The sequence below is a fragment of the Homo sapiens genome, chromosome 7, assembly GCF_000001405.40.
Source record: "Homo sapiens chromosome 7, GRCh38.p14 Primary Assembly".
Lineage (NCBI taxonomy): Eukaryota > Metazoa > Chordata > Mammalia > Primates > Hominidae > Homo > Homo sapiens.
The window spans coordinates 75,117,934-75,140,105 of record NC_000007.14 but is presented as its reverse complement, the minus strand read 5'-3'; the positions used below and the strand labels follow the sequence as shown (position 1 = coordinate 75,140,105).

The 22,172-nt window shown below is 46.4% G+C and overlaps 1 protein-coding gene across 2 annotated transcripts in view; it reads right to left on the bottom strand.

Annotated features, from left to right (window-relative positions):
• Nucleotides 1–22,172, bottom strand: part of GTF2IRD2B (GTF2I repeat domain containing 2B) — a 57,262-nt gene that overhangs the window by 9,712 nt on the left and 25,378 nt on the right. For both annotated transcript variants that reach the window (NM_001003795.3, NM_001368302.1), the window contains exons 4-12: nt 19,096–19,215; nt 16,787–16,970; nt 16,590–16,618; nt 14,136–14,190; nt 13,721–13,764; nt 6,894–6,971; nt 5,049–5,105; nt 3,256–3,321; nt 1,079–1,156 (exon numbers count right to left, since the gene is read on the bottom strand). In NM_001003795.3, coding sequence (NP_001003795.1) covers nt 1,079–1,156; nt 3,256–3,321; nt 5,049–5,105; nt 6,894–6,971; nt 13,721–13,764; nt 14,136–14,190; nt 16,590–16,618; nt 16,787–16,970; nt 19,096–19,215 — 711 coding nt within the window. The remainder of the gene's footprint in view (nt 1–1,078; nt 1,157–3,255; nt 3,322–5,048; nt 5,106–6,893; nt 6,972–13,720; nt 13,765–14,135; nt 14,191–16,589; nt 16,619–16,786; nt 16,971–19,095; nt 19,216–22,172) is intronic.

Below are 22,172 nucleotides of genomic sequence, written 5' to 3'. Positions count from 1 at the left end.
TCCACCTGCCTCAGCCTCCCAAAGTGCTGGGATTACAGGTGTGAGCCACCGCACCCGGTCTGTTTTTCTTTTCTTTTTGTTTTTTAGAGACAGAGTCTCACTGTGCTGTGCAGGCTGGTCTCAAACTCCTGGGCTCAAGTGATCCTCCTGCCTCAGCTTCCCAAAGTGCTGAGATTACAGGCACATGCCACCATGCCTGGTCCTTTTTTTTTTTGCTTTTATTTTTTAGATATTTTTCAACACTTTAAAACTTTATTTACTTTTGAATAACTAAAGCAATCACATGGCTCAACATTCAAGAGGAGTAATATACAGAAACATCTCAAACGTCTCTCTCCTATCCCTATCTCAGCGGTCAGTTTCCTTCCCTGGAGGAACTATGTAATTAGATTCTCTTGTATCTTTCCAGATATATTTTACATACACATATTCAGAAAAGAAGATTATTATTATTATTATTATTTATTTTTTTGAGACAGAGTCTCACTCTGTCGCCCAGGCTGGAGTGCAGTGGTGTGATCTCCGCTCACTGCAAGCTCCACCTCCCAGGTTCACGCCATTCTTCAGCCTCAGCCTCCCGAGTAGCTGGGACTACAGGTGCTCGCCACCACACCCGGCTAATTTTTTTGTATTTTTAGTAGAGACAGGGTTTCACCGTGTTATCCAGGATGGTCTTGATCTCCTGACCTCGTGATCTGCCCGTCTTAGCCTCCCAAAGTGCTGGGATTACAGGCGTAAGCCACCGTGCCCGGCCAGAAGATTGTTAATGATGAGCAACAAAACATTTCACCTCTGTGGCCAATTCCAATTCAACCATAGCTGGTGCTCCGTGCTGCCTGCTCTGAGATGCATTTTCCAGGTAATGCCCGGGCTTGTCCAGGAGAAGCAAAATATCCGATTAATAATGTCTGATGTGAGCAAGATGCTCGTTGTGTAGCAACTTGCAGAATATTTTATATTCCCGAAATGTCATTTCTTAGCTATCAGGGTGAACTAAGTGAAAAATGACAGGTCCAAGAGACCAGCCTATGTCAAAAAATAATTAAGACAAAAGGAAAAATGTAACATTAGTCCATACCTGGAACAGTCACTTGAACGATGTTAAGATCTTCAACACCTGCTGCAGAATTTGTAACACTGGATGAATTTGTGTTTCCTTAAAACAGAAGTTGAAGTTTAGAATTTACCAAGAATAAGACCAATTCTCCTTTAAATATGTCTAAGTGCTGCTTTGATCAGAAGCCCAGACTGAATTTTTTTTTCTTTTTTTTTTTTTTTTTGAGACAGGTTCTTACTCTGTCATTCAGGCTGGAGTGCAGTGGTGTGATCCTAGCTCACTGCATCCTCGACCTCCCACGGTCAAGTGATCCTCCCACCTCAGCCTTGTGAGTAGCTGGGACCACAGACATGCACCATCATGCTTGGCTAATTTTTTTTTTTTTTTTGAGACTGAGTCTATCACCCAGGCTGGAGTGCAGTGGTGCGATCTCGGCTCACTGCAACCTTTGCCTCCCAGGTTCAAGTGATTCTCGTGCCTCAGCCTCCTGAGTAGCTGGGATTACAGACACCCACCACCATGCCCAGTTAATAATTGTATTTTTTTTTTAGTAGAGACGGAGTTTCACCATGTTGGTCATGCTGGTTGAGAACTCCTGACCTCAAGTGATTCACCTACCTGGGCCTCCCAAAGTGCTGGGATTACAGGCGTGAGCCACCACGCCCGGCTCTAATTTTTGTATTTTTAGTAGAGACAGAGTTTCGCCATGTTGGCCAGGCTGGTCTTGAACTCCTGGCCTCAAGGGATTCACCCACCTGGGTCTCCCAAAGTGCTGGGATTACAGGTGTGAGCCACCCACCACGCCAGCCTTAAATCACACTTTCAACTTCACTTCCTTTAGATACTTGCACTTCAACTGAGTTCACCGGCTGCAGGCCTGCGGAGTTACCTTTGATATTTATCTGTCCACTCCAGTAGCAAAGGGGCTATGTCTGAGTGAATCGTCCTTTTCTTTCCATTCTCCCCCCTCATGTACCCTCAACCCTTCATTCTTTCCTCACGTGAACACAGCACAGTTGAGGCCCAGTTGTGGGTCAGTGCTAACGTGCAAGACTTAAAAAAAAATTTTTTTTTAATTTTTATTTTTAGAGATGGAGTCTTGCTCTGTTGACCATGCTGGAATGCAGGGGCATAATCACAGCTCACTGCAGCCTCAAAATCCTGGGCTCAAGCGATCCTCCCACCTCAGCCTCCCAAGTAGCTGAGACTACAGATGCATGCCACCATGCATGGCTGATATTTTTGTTAGTTTGTTTCGAGGCAGGAGCTCACTCCCATCACCCAGGCTGGAGTATTGTGGCACAATTACGGCTCACTGCAGCCTCGACTTCCCTGGGCTCAGGTGATTGGCCCACCTCAGTCTCCCGAATAGCTGGGACTACAGGTGTGTGCCACCATGCCCTGCTAACTTTTTGTATTTTTAGTAGAGACAGGGTTTCACTATGCCCAATTTGGTCTCAAACACCTGGGATCAAGTGATCTGCCCACCTCAGCCTCCCAAAATGCTGGGATTACAGGCGTGAACCACTGTGCCTTGCCTAACTTTTTCTTAATGTTTACTTTTTGCAGAGATAGTCTCACTATGTTGCCCAGTCTGATCTAGAACTCCAGGGTTCAAATGATCTTCTTGCCTTGGCCTCACAAAGTGCTGGGAATACAAGCATGCACCATCATGCCTAGTTATTATTTTTCTTTTCTTTCTAATTTTTTTTTGCACAGCTAATTATGTTGTCTACAACACCTCAAAGCATTGGGCCCTAATGGGAATGGCTGCTCTATTATATATACACATTATACTACATTAGAGATTTCAATCTCTTCCCCACAATTTTTTTTTTTTTTTTTTTAGATGGAATCTCGCTCTGTCACCCAGGCTGCAGTACAGTGGTGAGATCTCAGCTCACTGCAACCTCCGCCTCTCAGGTTCAAGCGATCCTCCTGTCTCAGCCTCCCAGGTAGCTGGAAATACAGACATGCACCACCACGCCTGGCTAATTTTGTATTTTTAGTAGAGACAGGGTTTCGCCATGTTTCCCAGGCTGGTCTCAAACTCCTGGGCTCAAGCAATACACCTGCCTTGGCCTCCCAAGGTGCTGGGATTACAGGCTTGAGCCACTGAGCTCTGCCATCCTCCCTGCAATTAATCCTGTTAGAAAGAATGAAAACCATACTTGGCAATGGGGCTTTGGGCAACTAACCTTCGATTTTCACCTCGGCTTCAGGGTCCTCATTTGGTTCTTCTGAAGGGACCAGCGGAGTGGAATCTTGAAAAAAAAATGTCTAAAATGACATTCATTATTAAGTATTCTCCTCATATTCCAACACATTAATGCTCCTATACCAAAAAAGTAGCTTATCCTGGCATTTTAAATATATTTCATATATAAATAATATAAACATAATTTTAATTTTATAAGCAATAATAATAGGATAATAAACAGTAACTGGGCCGGGCACGGTGGCTCGCACCTGTAATCCCAGCACTTTTGGGAGGCCGAGGTGGGCGCATCACTTGAGGTCAGGAGTTGAAGACCAGCCTGGGCAACATGGTGAAACCCCAACTCTATTAAAAATACAAAAATTATCCAGGCGTGGTGGCGCACGCCTGTAATCCCAGCTACTCAGGAGGCTGAGGAGGGAGAATTGCTTCAGCCCGGGAGGTGGAGGCTGCAGTGAGCCAAGGTCGTGACACACTGCACTCCAGCCTGGGTGACAGGGTGAGATTCTGTCTCAAAAAAAAAAAAAAAAAACAGAATCATTTTGGTAGTCCATGTGTCACTATCTCTCTAAGGCAGATATATACAACTAAAAGTAAGATCACATTGCCTGTAAATGGCAAAGATGTCCCACGCCTCTAGGTTTGGAAAGGAAATCTTTATTATTATTATTATTATTATTATTATCATTATTGAGACAGTCTCACTCTGTCACCCAGGCTGGAGTGGAATGGTGCGATTTCGGCTCACTGCAGCCTCCGCCTCCTAGTTTCAAGCAATCCTCGTGCCTCAGCCTCCCGAGTAGCTGGGATTACAGGTGCCTGCCACCACGCCTGGCTAATTTTTGTATTTTTAGTAGAGACAGGGTATCACCATGTTGGCCGGGCTGGTCTTGAACTCCTGACCTCAGGTGATCTGCCCACCTCAGCCTCCCAAAGTGCTGAGATTACAGGCATAAGCCACCATGCCTGGCCCTTTTTTAAAATTATTAATTTTATCTTGGACATACACAAACCACCGTAGGAATTTAGGCTTTATTCATATGATGCTCAAGATTTATATATGAATGGAGGGAAGTATTATCAAATTTTACTTCTAATGCAAGGATTTCCTAAAATACTATTCGACTCTGTCCAAAAGAATTATGTCATGCCATCCAAAAGACAAAGCAAGAAACAGCACCACTGCAAAGTTAACTTCCATATTCGGGTGCTTTAAGTAGAATCACTCACAGATCAGAAGCACAAGAAGTGATAGAGCCCTTCATGTTATATCTTAGGGCAAGAGCTCAACTATTCATAGTTTTCTGAGAAGACAGGCATGCCAGAAAGTCACCTTCCTTATTTTCCAACTTACATGTATAAAAGAGTATGTTCTCTGTAAAATACTATAAACTTTCAGCTGGGCATGGTGGCTTACGCCTGTAATCCCAGCACTATGGGAGGCAGAGGTGGACGGATCACTTGAGGTCAGGAGTTCGAGACCAGCCTGGACAACATGGTGAAATCCCGTCTCTACTAAAAATACAAAAATTAGCCGGGCGTGGTGGTACGCGCCTGTAATCGCAGCTACTCAGGAGGCTGAGGCACATGAATCGCTTGAACCCAGGAGGCAGAGGTTGTAGTGAGCCGAGATTGCGCCACTGCACTCCAGCCTGGGTGACAGAGCGAGACTCTGTCTCAAAAAAGAAAAAAAAAGTATGTTCTTTGTAAAATACTATAAACTTCTATAAACTTTTCTTAAAAGAGAGAGAAAAAATGCTGCATTTTTCTAACCTTCCATTGGTAATTCCATTTCTATTACTTCATTGCTTGTGGAAGAAGGGTGGCTTCCTGAAAGAAAAATAAATAATATATAACAAAGGAGAAATACAAAAATGTAAAAAGAAATCACTGAATACAATGCAAACAAGTCAATACCCACGCAGGAATACACCTGAAATACTTCTACCCCTTGAAATAAAACTGGCTGCGCGCGGTAACTCACGCCTGTAATCTCAGCACTCTGGGAGGTGGAGGCGGGCAGATCACCTGAGGTCAGGAGTTCGAGACCAGCCTGGCCAACATGGTGAGACCCCTTCTCTACAAAAAAATACAAAAATCAACCGAGTGTGGTGGCACATGCCTGTAATCTCAGCTATTCTTGAGGCCGAGCCAGGAGAATCACTTGAACCTGGGAGGTGAAGGTTGCAGTGAGCCATGATCACGCCACTGCATTCCAGCCTGGGCGACAGAGCGAGACTCTGTCTAAAAAAAAACAAACAAAAAAAACATAAACCAATTAATTTCTCTGAGTTTCTCACATTCTGGATTTTATTGACTACATCCTTGTGGTGATGTTTTCATATGTGCCTGTATTCCATGCATCTCCTAAAAACTGCTGGTTAGATCTAAAGGCTGGATCAGACTTAGGTCTGATTGTTTTGTTTTGTTTTGTTGTTGTTTTGAGAGAGAGTTTCACTCCAGCACCCAGGCTGGAGTGCAGTGGTGTGATCACAGCTCGCTGCAGCCTTGACCTCCCAGACTCAAGCGATCTTCCCACCTCAGCCTCCCAAGTAGCTGGGGCTACAGGTGTGTGCCACCATGCCCGGCTACTTTTTGTATTTTTTGTAGAGACGGCGTCTCACCATGTTGCCCAGGCTGGTTTTGAACTCCTGGGCTCAAGTCATACACCTGCCTTGGCCTCCCAAAGTGCTGGGATTACAGGTATGAGACACTACACCTGGCCAGGTTTGATTTTTTTTTTTTTTTTTGGAAGAATCCTTGACAAAGGTGGTGTGGTGTACTTCCTACTGGATACCGTCAGGAGACCAGTGACCAGTCAGTTCAGGAACTGTCAGTCAGGTCTGCCCATGATAAAGTCCCCATCAGACTTTTATAAAATGGTTTTAATGACCACTGACAATTATTGCCAAGATGCACTGCTTCATTAGGTGGTGCAAAATCATGACAGTCGTGACAATTTATGACTTCTTTTTAAAAGCCTTATGGGTCAGGTGTGGCGGCTCATGCCTGTAATCCCAGCATTTTGGGAGGCCAAGGTGAGTGGATCACCTGAGGTCAGGAGTTCGAGACCAGCCTGGCCAACATGGCGAAACCCCGTCTCTACTAATAATACAAAAAATTAGCCAGGCGTGGTGGCACACGCCTGTAATCCCACCTCCTTGGGAGGCTGAGGCACAAGAATCATTTGAACCCAGGAGGCAGAGTTTGCAGTAAGTGGAAATAGTGCCACTGAACTCCAGCTTGGGCAACAGAGTGAGATTCTGTCTCAAAAAAAAAAAAAGAGTATGTGGATTTAGCCCAGGCATGGTGGCTCACGCCTATAATCTCAGCACTTCTGGAGGCCAAGGCTGGAGGACTACTTAAGCCCAGGAGTTAGAGAACAGCTTGGGCAACAAGGTGAGACCTCATCTCTGTAAAAAAACAAACAAAAGAGTACATGGATTTAGGCTAAATAGAATCTATTTTATAACTGTAGGATTATTTACTCTAAATGGCAGCATGCTTGATCCTAGGTAAACACACATGGGTGCTCGCCAGTTTTTCAGACAGGTAGTAATTAAAATCTTCCATCCCAAATAACTTTTGGGGAAGAAAATTATTATCAAACAGTATTACCTTGCATATTATATTGATAGTAATTAGGATCTTCTGATTCTTTCTTGACTGAGACAGCTTCTGCTTTCAGTGAAATGCCTTGGAATGTAATGGAAATGATAAAATTGTATGTTAGGTTAAGTTTGCCAACAAAGAAATACGACTAGCTAATATAAGTTGATTAATACAGCAATGTTACAATCAGCAAAAGAACTTGTAGCTCACTCACTATGAACAAATTTGACCTCTTGATACAAAAATAGAAATACTATAAATTAAAATAATATACATATAGAAAACATACATTTGTGTATTTATGTATGTTTATATAAAAATAATATCAATTGTAAAATCAATAGAAAAGGAAAGAAGGAAGGAGGGGACCGGGCACGGTGACTCATGCCTCCAATACCAGTACTTTGGAAGGCTGAGGCGGGCAGATCACTTGAGGTCAGGAGTTTGAGACCAACCTGGCTAACATGGTGAAACCCTGTCTCTACTAAAACTACAAAAATTAGCTGGGAGTGGTGGCGGACGCCTGTAGCCAGCCACATGGGAGGCTGAGGCAGGAGAATTGCTTGAACCCAGGAGGTGGAGGTTGCAGTGAGCTGAGATCGAGCCACTGCACTCCAGCTGGTTGACAAAGCGAGACTCCATCTCAAAAAAAAAAAAAAAAAAAAAAAAAGAAGGAAGGAGAGGAGGATGAAGGAAGGCATCGTGAAGGCGGGAGAGCTTAGTTCTGATTCTAGTCCTAGTTTTGGGAGATTTTCCCCTTCAGGGTGGCTGAATATCCACGTGCATTTACATGAAATGCTGTGAAGATTCTTCTGTCATGAAGCCTGAACTGACATATATAACCATTTTTTTTTTTTTTTGAGACAGAGTCTCACTCTGTTGCCCAGGCTGGAGTGCAGTGGCATGATCTCGGCTCACTGCAACATCCACCTCCCAGGTTCAAGTGACCCTCCTGCCTCAGCCTCCCAAGTGGCCCACGCCACCATGCCTGGCTAATTTTTGTATTTTCAGTAAAGACGGGGTTTCACCATGTAGGCCGGGCTGGTCTCAAACTCCTGACCTCAGGTGATCCACCCACCCACCTTGGTCTCTCAAAGTGCTGGGATTACAGGCATAAGCCACCGTGCCCGGCTAGGCACTTATAATCTTAACTTACTCACTATAATGGAATGGATTTCAAAACCTGGAGAAGCTATATCAGTACAACCTAACGCCTTTATCAGAGAAGGGTGCGGTTGGCTGCAAAAATTAGCTCAAGACCTCTCCCATCCCAGGATGTACATCCCTTTGCAATGTGACTATCCCATGCTTCTTTTCTAGAAGTAAAGTCTGTTTCTCTGCCATTTTGTTATTATTTTTTGAGACAGAGTCTTGCTCTGTTGCCCAGTGGAGTGCAGTGGCATGATCATGGCTCACTGCAACCTCTGTCTCCTGGGCTCAAGCGATCCTCCTGTCTCAGCCTCCTGAGTAGCTGACTATAGGCATGCATCACCACGCCTGCCTAATTTTTGTATTTTTTGTAGACATGAGGTTTCACCATGTTACTCAGGCTGGTCTCGAACTCCTGGACTCAAGCAATTTGCCTGCCTTGGCCTCCCAAAATGTTGGGATTACAGCTGTAAACCACGGCGCCAGGCCATTCTCTGCCCTTTAAATCTGGCCCTGGCTGTGTGACTTGCTTTGGTCAATGGGACATCAGCCGATGGGATGCAAAGAGAGGCTTGAGAAGAGCTTGATCATCTGTGCCTGCTGCTTCTAGAACCTCATCACCATGGGAGCCAGCCTAGGGTGCCTCCAAAGGGTATGAGGCCACAAGGAGAGAGACCCTGATGTCCCAGCCGGGGCCTCAGACACACAGCCATCCGGCCCTTGCTGAGCCAGTCCAGCCAACACACAGAAATGTAGGAAAGACTAAATATTCCATTCCATTCCATTGGAGCCCTTCCCCTTCTCTTTCCAGCCCAGGCTGGAGTGCAATGGCATGATCTTGGCTCACTGCAGCCTCCACCTCCCAGGTTCAAGTGATTCTCCTGCCTCAGCCTCCCAAGTAGCTGGGACTACAGATGCGCACCACTACGCCTGGCTAATTTTTGTATGTTTAGTGGAGACAAGGTTTCACCACGTTGGCCAGGCTGGTCTCCAACTCCTGACCTCAGGTGATCCGCCTGCCTTGGCCTCCCAAAGTGCTGGGATTGCAGGCGTGAGCCACCACACCCAGCCTCATTTCAGGGGTACTTTTAAATACAGCAATAGATGACTGATACTAAAATGTACATGTAATTTAACCATGAATGTTTGTAATAGCAAAACAAAAAAACTGTGGCATAGCTTGGGGTTCATTGTTTAACATAATTTATAAGTTCTGAGGGGTCGTCTGAAAACCTTTAACAGCTCTGTTGGTATAAGGACAGTGAAGCTAAACATTTAAAAATCTGATTTTCAGCTGGGGACAGTGGCTCAGACCTGTAATCCCAGCACTTTGGGAGGCTAAGGTAGGCAGATCATTTAAGGTCAGGAGTTCGAGACTAGCCTGAACAACAGGGTGAAACCCCGTCTCTATTAAAAATACAAAAACCAGCCAGGTGTGGTGGTGGGCACCTGTAATCCCAGCTACTCAGAAGGCTGAAGCAGGAGAATCACTTGAACCCGGGGGGCGGAAGTTGCAGTGAGCTGAGATCACACCACTGTACTCCAGTCTGGGCGACAGCGAGACTCTGTCTCAAGAAAAGAAAAAAAAATTGGCCTGGTGCGGTGGCTCATGTCTGTAATCCTAGCACTTTGGGAGGCCGAGGAGGGTGGATTACCTGAGTTCAGGAGTTTGAGACCAGCCTGGGCAACACGGTGAAACCCTGCCTCTACTAAAATACAAAAAAATTAGCCAGGTGTGACGGCGTGCACCTATGATTCCAGCTACTCAGGAGGCTGAGACAGGAGAATCACTTGAACCTGGGAGGCAGAGGTTGCAGTGAGCTGAGGTCGTGCCACTGCACTCCAGCCTGGCAAGACAAGAAAGAAAGAAAGGAAGGAAGGAAGGAGAGAAAGAAAGAAAGAAGGAAAGAAAGAAAGAAGGAAAGAAAGAAAGAAAGAAAGAAAGAAAGAAAGAAAGAAAGAAAGAAAGAAAGAAAGAGAAAATAAATTAAAACCAGGGAGATGGTTTGTTTTTGTAGCAAATGCTACACACATATCACAAGAAATAAGGACCAATTGAGGACCAGCTCTCAGGAGCCTGCTGGCAGCTGGTAGCAATCCATATCGCTTTATAAAGTCTACAGTAGGAAGTTTTGTGAATAAGGAAGCATATTTTTGTTCAAATGAAACCACATCTCCAACAAAGGCACGTGAGAACCACAGATCTAGCCCAACAGCTGGTGAGGAAGGAAACTCGGCCCCTGGGGACACTGATCACTTCTCACTCTCACCCCCTTCATCTTCCCAGGTTCTTTCTTTTTTCTTTTTTTCTTTTCTTTTTGAGACAGTCTTGCTCTGTCACCCAGGCTGGAGTGCAGTGGTGCCATCTTGGCTCACTGCAACCTCCGCCTCCTGGGTTCAAGCAACTGTCCTGCCTCAGCCTCCTGAGTAGCTGGGATTACAGGCATGCACCACCACGCCCAGCTCATTTTTGTATTTTCAGTAGACATGGGGTTTCACCATGTTGGCCAGGCTGGTCTCGAACTCCTGACTTCAGGTGATCCGCCCACCTTGGCCTCCCAAATTGCTGGGATTATGGGCGTGAGCCACCGTGCCTGGCCTCATCTTCCCAGTTTGTATGTGGAGCCTGTGGCTTGGGGTATTCTTTTAATTCTCTGTGACCAGGTAAGACACAGGCAGAAGATATCTGAGCTCTGAAAACATCCAAGGCTAATATTGAGTGGGCAAGAGTTTGAGGCCTGTCACGTCAGAAACGAGACCAAGATTCCACAGCTGACCTGTGCTCACAGCTGAATTGTGCTGAGCTGAAATACTGCGCCCGTTTCTTTCCATTCAACTTGTCTTGGTTTGACCTAGAACCACACTGCACAGGAGAAGCACCATTTTTTGTTCAGACTCTCATCTGAAGCTGAAGCTTCTGCTAAGCACTTGTTTGCATGGGAGTGGAAGGGGACATGTGCACCCACAGTTGTGGCGAAAAGATCCTTGGGTGTGACAAAGGAGGAGGCGGGCCAAGGAGACCCATCCACTGTGTCCCTGGACCCTCCCAAGGAATCCCAGGAACTGCGAAGCATAAACCACATCTTCACTGTCTTAGAGACGCTGCTGTCCTTCCTTCATTTTACTCATGCTAAAGGCTCTATTTTTCTTTTCTCTAGAACTTTCTTTCTTTCCTTTTTTCTGAGACGGAGTTTCACTCTGTCACCCAGGCTGGAGTGCAATGGCGCAGTCTCGGCTCACAGCAAACTCTGCCTCCTGGGTTCAAGCGATTCTCCTGTCTCAGCCTCCCAAGTAGCTGGGATTACAGGCGTGCGTGGTGGCGCCTAATTTTTGTATTTTTAGTAAAGACAGGGTTTCACCATGTTGGCTAGACTGGTCTCAAACTCCTGACCTCAGGTGATCTGCCTGCCTCCGCTTCCCAAAGTGCTGGGATTACAGGCGTGAGCCACTAGACCCAGCCAGGTCTTTGTTTCTTAACACAGAATATTGTTTTTCTTTTGGATTATGATTATTATTCTTTGAAGCCAGGGTCTCGCTCTGTCACCCAGGCCGGAGTGCAGTGGTGCAATCATGGCTCACTCCAGCCTTTATCTCCTGGGCCCAAGTGATCCTCCAACCTCAGCCTCCCAAGTAGCTGGGATTATAAGTGCGTGCTACGATGTCTGGCTAATTTTTTATTTATAAATATTTTTTGTAGAGACAGGGTCTCGCTTTGTTGCCCAGGCTGGTCTCAAATTCCTGGACTCAGGCGATCCTCCTGCTTCAGCCTCCCAAAGTGCTGAGATTACAGGCGTGAACCTTTCAACTTTTAATGCTTTCAGTATTTTCCCATCCCTTGATTGAACATTTGGGTTTTAAATTATTTTTGTTGTTGTTGTTTCTTTTTGAGACAGAGTCTTGCTCTGTCACCCAGGCTAGAATGCAGGGGTGTGATCTCGGCTCACTGCAACCTCTGCCTCCTGCGTTCAAGCGATTCTTGTGCCTCAGCCTCCTGAGTAGCTGGGATTACAGGCGCCTGCCATGATGCCCAACTAATTTTTTGTATTTTTAGTAGAGACAGTGTTTCACCATGTTGGCCAGGCTGGTCTCAAACTCCTGACCTCAAGTGATCCGCCCACCTTGGCCTCCCAAATTGCTGGGATTACAGGTGTGAGCCACTACACCCGGCCTAAGCTTTTTTTTTTTTAATCTTAACCTGTTAACATTTTTCCTCTAATTAATGCTGGTTTTCTTTTATTGAGGAGTGAGGAGAAGCAAGAATGGGGTCAACCCCATTGAAGAGGGATTTTTTTTCCAGTATACACTGTCATAGTAATGTACCTATATTGTAAAACATTTAGAAATGACAGAAAAGTCCAAAAAAGCAGTAGTATATGTCCAAAAATGAAAACACTGCTCTATTTGTGAGTCAAGTAATAATTCCAAATTTATATTCAAAATGTTTTACTCATTTCAAATTCAGGTTCTCATTCAACTATAAATAAAATAATATTCTGTCCAAAAGTATGTGTATTTAATAACATCTTAGTCCCCATTATGTACTGAATTAGAAGGCTCCCTCTCTCTCTCTCTCTCTCTTTTTTTTTTTTTTTTTTTTTTTTGAGACAACGTCTCTCTCTGTCACCCAGGCCGGAGTGCAGTGGTACCATTACAGCTCACTGCAGCCTCAACCTCCTGGGCTTAAGCGATCCTCCCACCTCAGCCTCCTGAGTAGCTAGGATCACAGGCATGCACCACCATTTTTTATATGTTTTGCAGAGATGAAGTCTCGCCATGTTGCCCAGGCTGGTCTTGAACTCCGGGGTTCAAGCAATTTGCCTGCCTCGGCCTCCCAAGGTGTTGGAGTTACAGTCGTGAGCCCCCACACCCTGCCAAGGCTTGTTTTCTAGATATTTGAGTAAAATAATGGTTCTTCTGCAAATGAGGCTCCACTGAGGTTAATTCACGCCCTGGTCTTTATTTATTTATTTATTTATTTGATAAAACAAAAGAAAGGTGTCAAATGATAACCTGCTAGATACTTGGTTCTTTTTTTTGTTTTTTTTGTTTTTGTTTTTGTTTTTGTTTTTTTTTGACACAGAATCTCACTCTGTAGCCCAAGGTGGAGTGCAGTGGTGTGATCTTGGCTCACTGCAACCTCCACCTCCCGGGCTCAAGCAATTCTTATGCCTCAGCCTCCCAAGTAGCTGGGACTACAGGCGCACACGACCATGCCCAGCTAATTTTTTGTATTTTAGTAGAGACAGGGTTTTACTACGTTGGCCAGGATGGTCTTGAACTCCTGAGCTCAGGCGATCTGTCCGCCTCAGCCTCCCAAAGTGCTGGGATTACAGGCGTGATCCACCGTGCGCAGCCTTGTTTGTTTTTTTGAGACAGGGTCTTGCTCTGTCACCCAGGCTGGAGTGCAGTGGCGCCATCTCAGCTCACTGCAGCCTCAGCCTCCCAGGTCCAAGCAATTCTCCTGCCTCAGCCTCCCTGGTAGCTGGGATTACAGGCACGCACAGCCACGCCTGGCTAATTTTTGTATTTTTAGGAGAGACAGGGTTTCACCATGTTGGCCAGGCTGGTCTTGAACTCCTGACCTCAAGTGATCCGCCTGCCTCGGCCTCCCAAATTGCTGGGATTACAGGCGTGAGCTACCACGCTTGGCCGATACTTGATTCTAAAAGCATCTTGGTACCCACCAGAATCTTCCATGGGTTCAGTTTTCACATTGATGGGGCCGCAGCTGCAAGGAGAAGGGAACCCTGGTCAGATGGGCAGGGTGAGGACCAGGCACAGCCGCCTGGACACGATGAGCTCAAATGCCCTGGATCTCCGCAGCACCAAATCCCCCTCCTCCCCTCAATCAAATGCAACAATGCCTCCATTTTAACATTAATGTCTTAATAAGTTGTTCCCAAATTAAACGTGTCTACCGAAAATAGTCTTCTAATTCCAAAGGTCCTTTTGGACAAAGAATAGGATAGAAAATAAGGAAGGGAAGAAGCACATTAACCCTTTACACTCCACTTAAATGCTGTAAGGAGGCCTTTCTGTCATCCAAAAACGAACACTGTGCATAGTTGTGGATTTTGGTTGCTGTGATTTATCTTTTACCTTTCACTTGGTGATACTATGGATCTCTCCGCATCTGTTACCATCCCAGGGCCACCTGTAGAGGAATGAAAAAACACACACCAGCCCCTTTTAGCACCTCGGAAAATGACTAACATCCAAAGGCATAGAAATTGACAGCAAATACACAGAAAACGGAACTCCCAGATCGAAGCCAACGTGGAAAAGTCATCGAGAGAGAAACTGACTCAAAGCAGCCGCTGTGTTCCGGGGCCATTTGTGTGGGCAGGATGGGGGTTACCGAGGAGTGTTTTGGGGCCAGAGCACGGTCGTGCGGCTGAGCCTCAGCTCACCAGCTGGGCTGCCTCCAGCAACTCACTAAACCTCCCTCTGCCTCCGCTTCCTCGTGAACACGGTGGTTGTGGGAGGATTCATGAATATACGCAAAATGACTAGAACAGTGCCTGCATGTTGTAAGCACTAAGTTAGAGCTGCTATGACACGAGCTCCCCCTTGATCTGTGGTTTCGCGGTCCTCGGTTTGCTCCCCAAGGTCAACCAAAGTCTGCAAAGAGTAAACGGAAAATTCCAGAAATAATTCAGAAGTTTGAAATCACACGTTGTTCTGAGCAGCGTGATGAAGTGTCGTGCCGTCCCGCCTGGGACGTGACTCATCCCTTTGTCCTGCAATCCACGCTGTCTACACTACTCTCCCACTAGTCACTGAGTAGCTGGCTCTGTTATCAGACTGACAGTCCTGGGAAGGCCAGGGTGCTTGTGCTCAAGTCACCTTTATTTGACTTCATAATAGCCCCAAAGTGCAAGAGTAGTAATGAAGGCATATTGTTATAATCATTTTATTTTATCTTTAGTTATTGCTGTTAATCTCCTACTTTGCTTGATTTATTGATTTATTTACTGAGATGGATCTTGCTCTGTTGCCTGGGCTGGAGTGCAGTGGCACGATCTCGGCTCACTGCAACGTCTGCCTCCCGGGTTTAAGCAATTCTCCCGCCTCAGCCTCCCGAGTAGCTGGGACTACAGGCACGCACCACCACGCCCGGCTAATTTTTGTATTTTCAGTAGAGACAGGGTTTCACCATGTTGGCCAGGCTGGTCTCAAACTCCTAACCTCAGATGATCCACCCGCCTCGGCCTCCCAAAGTGTTGGGATTACAGGCGTGAGCCACCACACCTGGCCTGTGCTTGATTTATAAATTAAACTTTCTCTTAGGTAGGTATGGCTAGGGAAAAACATAGTATATGAAGGGTTCTGTACTACCCATGGGTCCAGGCATCTACTGGGGGTCTTGGAGCATATTCCCCGAGGATAAGGGGGGACCACTGTATTATTGTTTTTCTATGATGATGATACAAGTCAGTTGGGACAACAATCCATGGCCACCTGCCACCCTGCCCCTCTCATTTGTCCTTTAATGTGAGTTAGAGGATGACAGGAACTCACCATCCCTCCCGAAACAGACTTTCCACTGTGTTTAGTCCCCGGCTAAGAAGAACTGAAGCATGTCATACACCCAGCAGGTGCCTTGTGAACTGTGCCACCCCCCACCCCTGCCGTCTCCTTACTCCACTTAGGCAGTCTCAGCAAGACATCTTCTTTTATTCTTCTTTATTTATTTATTTTTGAGGCACAGTCTCATTTTGTCACCCAGGCTGGAGTGCGGTGGCACAATCTTGGCTCACTGCAAACTCTACATCTCGGGTTCAAGTGATTCTCCTGCCTCAGCCTCCTGAGTAACTGGGATTACACGCACCCGCCACCATGCCTGGCTAACTTTGGTATTTTTAGTAGGGATGGGGTTTCACCATGTTGACTAGGCTGGTCTCGAACTCCTGACCTCAAGTGATCTGCCCACCTCTGCCTCCCAAAGTGCTGGGATTACAGGTGTGAGCCACTGCGTCCGGCCAATTTTTTTTTTAATAGCTACAAATGTATTTTTCTTTTTTTAAAAAATATTCTTTATTTCTTCTAAAAAAAAAAGGGGGGGGGATACATCTGCAGAATGTGCAGGTTTGTTTCCTAGGCACATGTGTGCCACGATGGCTTGCTGCACCTATTGGCCCGTCCTCTAAGTTCCCTCCCCTCACCCAAATTCAAGTTTTGTTTTTTTTTTTGAGACGGAGTCTTGCTCAGTCGCCCAGGCTGGAGTGCAGTGGCGCGATCTCCGCTCACTGCAAGCTCCACCTCCCGGGTTCACGCCATTCTCCTGCCTCAGACTCCCGAGTAGCTGGGACTACAGGCGCCCGCCACCACGCCCGGCTAATTTTTTTTCGTATTTTTAGTACAGACTGGGCTTCACCGTGTTAGCCAGGATGGTCGCGATCTCCTGACCTTGTGATCCACCTGCCTCAGCCTCCCAAAGTGCTGGGATTACAGGTGTGAGCCATCACGCCCGGCCCCCAATTCAAGTTTTAATGAAGAAGAAGTGGTTCAGCAGCTCAGAAGAGCCACCAAACCTGAGAAGCTGTCACTTACCCAGCTGACTCTCTGGTCCTAGGAAGGGTCTGCAAGAAAAGCAACACCATTACCCAGCACGGACCAATGAAAAAAGCATGACACATCTGAACAGTCAGCTCTGAAACGCAGCAGGCGGGATGCACGAGTGAATTAAAATTAGGCTATTGGTTTCATCTTTAAATGAACTGAAGGGGCGGGGGTGCAGAGTGTGTCACCTATTTATGATGAATGAAATCCCTGCTTTGTTCTCCAAAATCCATTTCAGGGTTGCAAGGTCGTAATTCTCAGGGTGTTGAAAGGCAACGCCTTCCGGAAGCCCCTGCACTACCACAGCCGACTGGTCTCGCAGCATCTTCTCATAGGGAACAGGCACCATCACTGTTGTCCCTAAGGCTTTACCTACAAGAAGACGCAAACGTCTTTGGATGGTGTGAACCTAACGTTCTACCAGTTTTTTTTTTTTGTTTTTTGTTTTTTGTTTTGTAGAAACAGAGTCTCGCTCTGCCACCCCGGCTGGAGTGCAATGGCAAGATCTCGGCTCGCTGCAACCTCCACCTCCTGGGTTCAAACAATTCTCCTGCCTCAGCCTCCCGAGTAGCTGGGACTACAGGCACACACCACCATGCCCAGCTAATTTCTTTTGTATTTTAGTAGAGATGAGGTTTCACCATGTTGTCCAGACTGGTCTCGAACGGCTGAGCTCAGGCGATCTACCCACCTTAGCCTGCCAAAGTGCTAGGATAACAGGCGAGCCACTGAGCCCAGCCTAGTTTTTTTTGTTTTTGTTTTTGTTTTTAATTAAGAGACAGGGTCTCGACTGGGCTCACTGCAACCTCTGCCTCCTGGGTTCAAGCAATTCTCCTGCCTCTGCCTCCTGAGTAGCTGGCATTACAGCCGCCTGCCACCATGCCCGACTAATTTTTGTAGTTTTAGTAGAGACGGAGTTTCACTATGTTGGCCAGGCTGGTCTCGAACTCTTGATCTCAGGTGATCCACCCACCTCAGCCTCCCAAGTAGCTGGTGTGAGTCACCGTGCCCAGCCTGTTATCTAGCTTTTTAAAACACTGCAAAGGATTTTTGAAAATTATTTTTATTTTATTTTGTAGAGACAGGGTCTTACTATGTTGCTCAGTCTGGTCTCAAACTCCTGGGCTCAAATGATCCTCCCACCTTAGCCTCCCAAGTAGCTGGGATTACAGGCTCAAGCCACCATGCCCAGCGTATTTTTTTTTTAAATTCCCATCTTCATGCCTATGGAAAGACATGGGTAGGTGGAGTGACAACTGAGGGGTGAGGGAGGTGACTGAGCCAACATTGACTGTCTTTAGCAATACACTGGCCTTGATGCGGGGCTCTCTAAAATGGGATCAAGGAAGAAAGAGTGATCAATACAGAAGTTTCCACAGAGCAGAAGATCCAAGATCCACATCATCTTCTATAAGAACACTTAATCTGGTAATTAAGAACTGGTGGGCCGGGCGCGGTGGCTCACGCCTGTAATCCCAGCACTTTGGGAGGCCAAGGTGGGCGGATCACGAGGTCAGGAGATCGAGACCATTCTGGCTAACACAATGAAACCCCGTCTCTACCAAAAAATACAAAAAAAGTTAGCCGGGCACGGTGGCGGGTGCCTGTAGTCCCAGCTACTCAGGAGACTGAGGCAGGAAAATGGCAGGAACCCGAGAGGCGGAGCTTGCAGTGAGCCGAGATTGAGCCACTGCACTCCAGCCCGGGCAACAGAGCGAGACTCTGCCTCAAAAAAAAAAAAGAACTGGTGGCCAGGCACGGCGGCTCACACCTGTAATCTCAGCATTTTGGGAGGCCAAGGCAGGAGGATCACCTGAGGTCAGGAGTTCGAGACCAACCTGGCCAACATGGCAAAACCCCATCTCTACTAAACATACAAAAATTAGCTGGGCAAGGTGGTGGGCACCTGTAATCCCAGCTACTTAGGAGGCTGGGGTGGGAGAATCGCTTGAACCCAGGAGGCAGAGTTTACAGTGAGCTGAGATTGTGCCAATGCACTTCAGCCTGGGTGTCAGAGCAAGACTCCTCTCAGAAAAAAAAAAAAAAAGAACTAGCTCCTCGCTTGATAAGCATATGGGTTTTGAAATGTTCAAACATTCTAAGTAGTCATGGCAATAAGACTGTCTGTGACACTGTCCTACTCCTGGGTGAACCACTTAGAGAATTCATGCTTGGCTGGGCGCGGTGGTTCACGCCTATAATCCCAGCATTTTGGGAGGCCAAGGCAGGCGGATCACAAGGTGAGGAGTTTGAGACCAGCCTGGCCAACATGGTGAAACCCCATCTCTACTAAAAATACAAAAATTAGCTGGGTGTGGTGGTGGGCGCCTGTAATCCCAGCTACTTGGGAGGCTAAGGCAGGAGAATTGCTTGAACCCAGGAGGCGGAGGTTGCAGTGAGCCGAGATCGCACCACTGCACTCTAGCCTGGGTGGCAGAGCAAGACTCCATCTCAAAAAAAAAAAAAAAATAGAATTAATGCTTAAAGTGAACGTTACCATAACAAAAGCAGAAATAGTCCTCCACTGCCTTCCTGAGTATTTCCGTTTCGCCCGAGTGGACCTGCATCCCGTTCACAGGGCAGGGAGGTTTCACCTCACACAGTCCCTCTGCAACGCCTGCAAATGGATGATTGGCATTAGGTCAGTTTCTAAGCATTTGTGCTGTACACTTCCGTACTTTGTTTCTGGTATTGAAAGAAAAAAGGGAAAAAAGTGAATAAATATAAAACAAGATCTTTTAAAGAAAAACAAGAAAAAATTGTATTTATGATAAACAGGTTAATGAACTATAAAAAAATCAACATATAAAGAAATAGTAGTAGTTTAAGGAAATTATTATTTTTAGAGACAGGGTTTCACTCTGCTGCCCAGGCTGGAGTGCAGTGGGATGATCGAAGTTCCCGGCAGCCTCAAATTTCTGGGCTTAAGCGGTCCTCCCACCTCAGCCTCCAGGAGTGCCCCATCACACCTGGCTAACTTTTAAATTTTTTTTAGAGATGGGATCTCACTATGTTGCCCAGGCTGGCCTCTAACTCCTGGCCTCAAGTGATCCTCCCATCTTAGCCTCCCAAAGTGTTGGGATTACAGGTGTGAGGCACTGCACCCATCCAGAAATTATCTTTATAACAGAAATTTGATTTGCTATACAGTTGAAACGTGGCAATAATTGTATAGGAAGACTATACCCCTGAACCCATTCAAGACCAGCCCCAGAATCAATTGCTCCTCCAAAAGTTTTAAAACTGATTGTTTTCATCAGTCTAGTCAGAAGAGAGAAACCACATAGTAATTTGAACACAGAAAGGTTTTTGTTTTTTTTTTTTGTATCAATGTAAGGGGCACAAGTATAGTTTTCTTTCTTTCTTCTTTTTTTTTTTTGAGACAGAGTCTCGCTGTGACACCCAGGCTGGAGTGCAGTGGCATGTTCTCCACTCACTGCAAGTTCTGCCTCCCGGGTTCACGCCATTCTCCTGCCTCAGCCTCCTGAGTAGCTGGGACTACAGGTGCCTGCCACCACGCCCGGCTAAGTTTTTGTATTTTTTAGTAGAGATGGGGTTTCACCACGTTAGCCAGAATGGTCTCGATCTCCTGACCTCGTGATCCGCCTGCCTCGGCCTCCCAAAGTGCTGGGATTACAGGCCTGAGCCACCACACCCCGCCAAGTATAGTTTTCTTGCATGGATATACGGTGTTGTTGGTGAAGTCTGGGGTTTTAGTGTACTCATCACCCAAATAATGTACATTGTACCCATGAAGTAATTTATCATCCCTTACCCACCTCCTGCCTCCCACCCCTGAGTCTCCAGTGTCTGTTATTTCACACTCTATGACCATGTTTTTGTTTGTTTGTTTTGAGACAGAGTCTCACTCTGTCACCTAGGCTGGAGTGCAGTGGCGCAATCTCAGCTCACAGTAATCTCTGCCTCCTGGGTTCAGGAGATTTTCGTGCCTCAGCCTCCCTAGTAACTGGGATTACAGGCACCCGCCACTACACCAGGCTCATTTTTGTATTTTTAGTAGAGACAGGGTTTCACCATGTTGGCCAGGCTGGTCTCGAACTCCTGGCCTCAAGTGATCTGCCCACCTCGGCCTTCCAAAGTGCTGGGATTATAGGAGTGAGCCACTGCACCTAGCCTCACATTCTATGTCCATGTGTACCTATTATTTAGCCCCTCTTGTAAGTTAGGACATGCCGCATTTGCCTTTTTACGTCAAATGATAAAGACAATAGCCCCCAATCCCATCCATGTTGCTGCAAAAGACATCATTTCATTCTTTTTTTTTTTTTTTTTTTTTTTTTTTTTTTTTTTTTTTTGAGAGAGTCTTACTCTGTCGCCTAAGCTGGAGTGCAATGGCATGATCTCGGCTCACTGCAACCTCTGCCTCCCGGGTTCAAGCAATTCTTGTGCCTCAGCCACCTGAGTAGCTGGGATTACAGGCATGCACCACCGCCCCCGGCTAACTTTTATAATTTTAGTAGAGACGAGGTTTCGTCATGTTGGCCAGGCTGGTCTAGAACTACTGATCTCAAGTGATCCATCGCCTCAGCCTCCCAAAGTGCTTGGATTATAGGCATGCACTACCATGCCCGGCCATTTCATTCTTTTTTATGGCTGAATAGTATCCCATAGTGTACGTACCACATTTTCTTTGTCCCATCATCTGGTGATGGATGCTTAGCTTGATTTGCACATCTTTGCTATTGTGAATAGTGCTGTGATAAACGTTCAAGGCAGGTGTCTTTTTGATAGAATGATTTATTTTCCTTTGGGTAGATGCCAAGTAGTGGGCTTGCTGGATTGAATGGGGGTTTATGTTTAGTTCTTTGAGAAATCTCCATACTGTTTTCCATAGAGCTTGTACTAATTTACACCAACAGGTGAAGTTTCCTAGAAGAGTCGTCAACTGGTAACATGGGATTAGCTGCTAGAGGGACTGAGGACTCTAAAGAGAACATAAGCAGCAAATTGCAAGAGCATCTGTAACTGCTGGGCTAAGGCAGGGGACCCAGGAGGGAGCAAATCCAGGAATGGGGTGGCTCCCCAGGGCCGAGATCCAGACCTCATTAAACAGGATTTGGTCACGGCCCACTGGATAGTGGGGAAGCCTGTGGGGTTGTCCATGTGGTGGCTGGCAAGCAGGGGCCTGCTTTCTGGGGGTGCTGGTGGAAATCACTAGACAGTTACCCTGTGGGTGCCTGCAACACTTTCTGGGCGTTATAAGGAAGATGGCCTCTAGTGTGCTAGTGGAACTCTCTGGAAGCTACCTGGAGGGTGATGCCAAGAGAATTTGCTGGGAAGCCATGCTCTGGGGAACTGGTGGAACTCCCTAGGAAACTGCCTGTGGGTATGGTGCCACTGAAATTCACTGCGAAACCTCCTTCTGCAATTTTCTTTCTTCCTTTTTCCTTTCCCTTTTTTTTTTTTTTTTTTGTCTTGCTCTGTCACCCAGGCTGGAGTGCAATGGCACGATCTTGGCTCACTGCAACCTCCACCTCCTGGGTTCAAGTGATTCTCCTGCCTCAGCCTCCCGAGTAGCTGGGATTACAGGTGCATGCCACCACACCCAGCTAA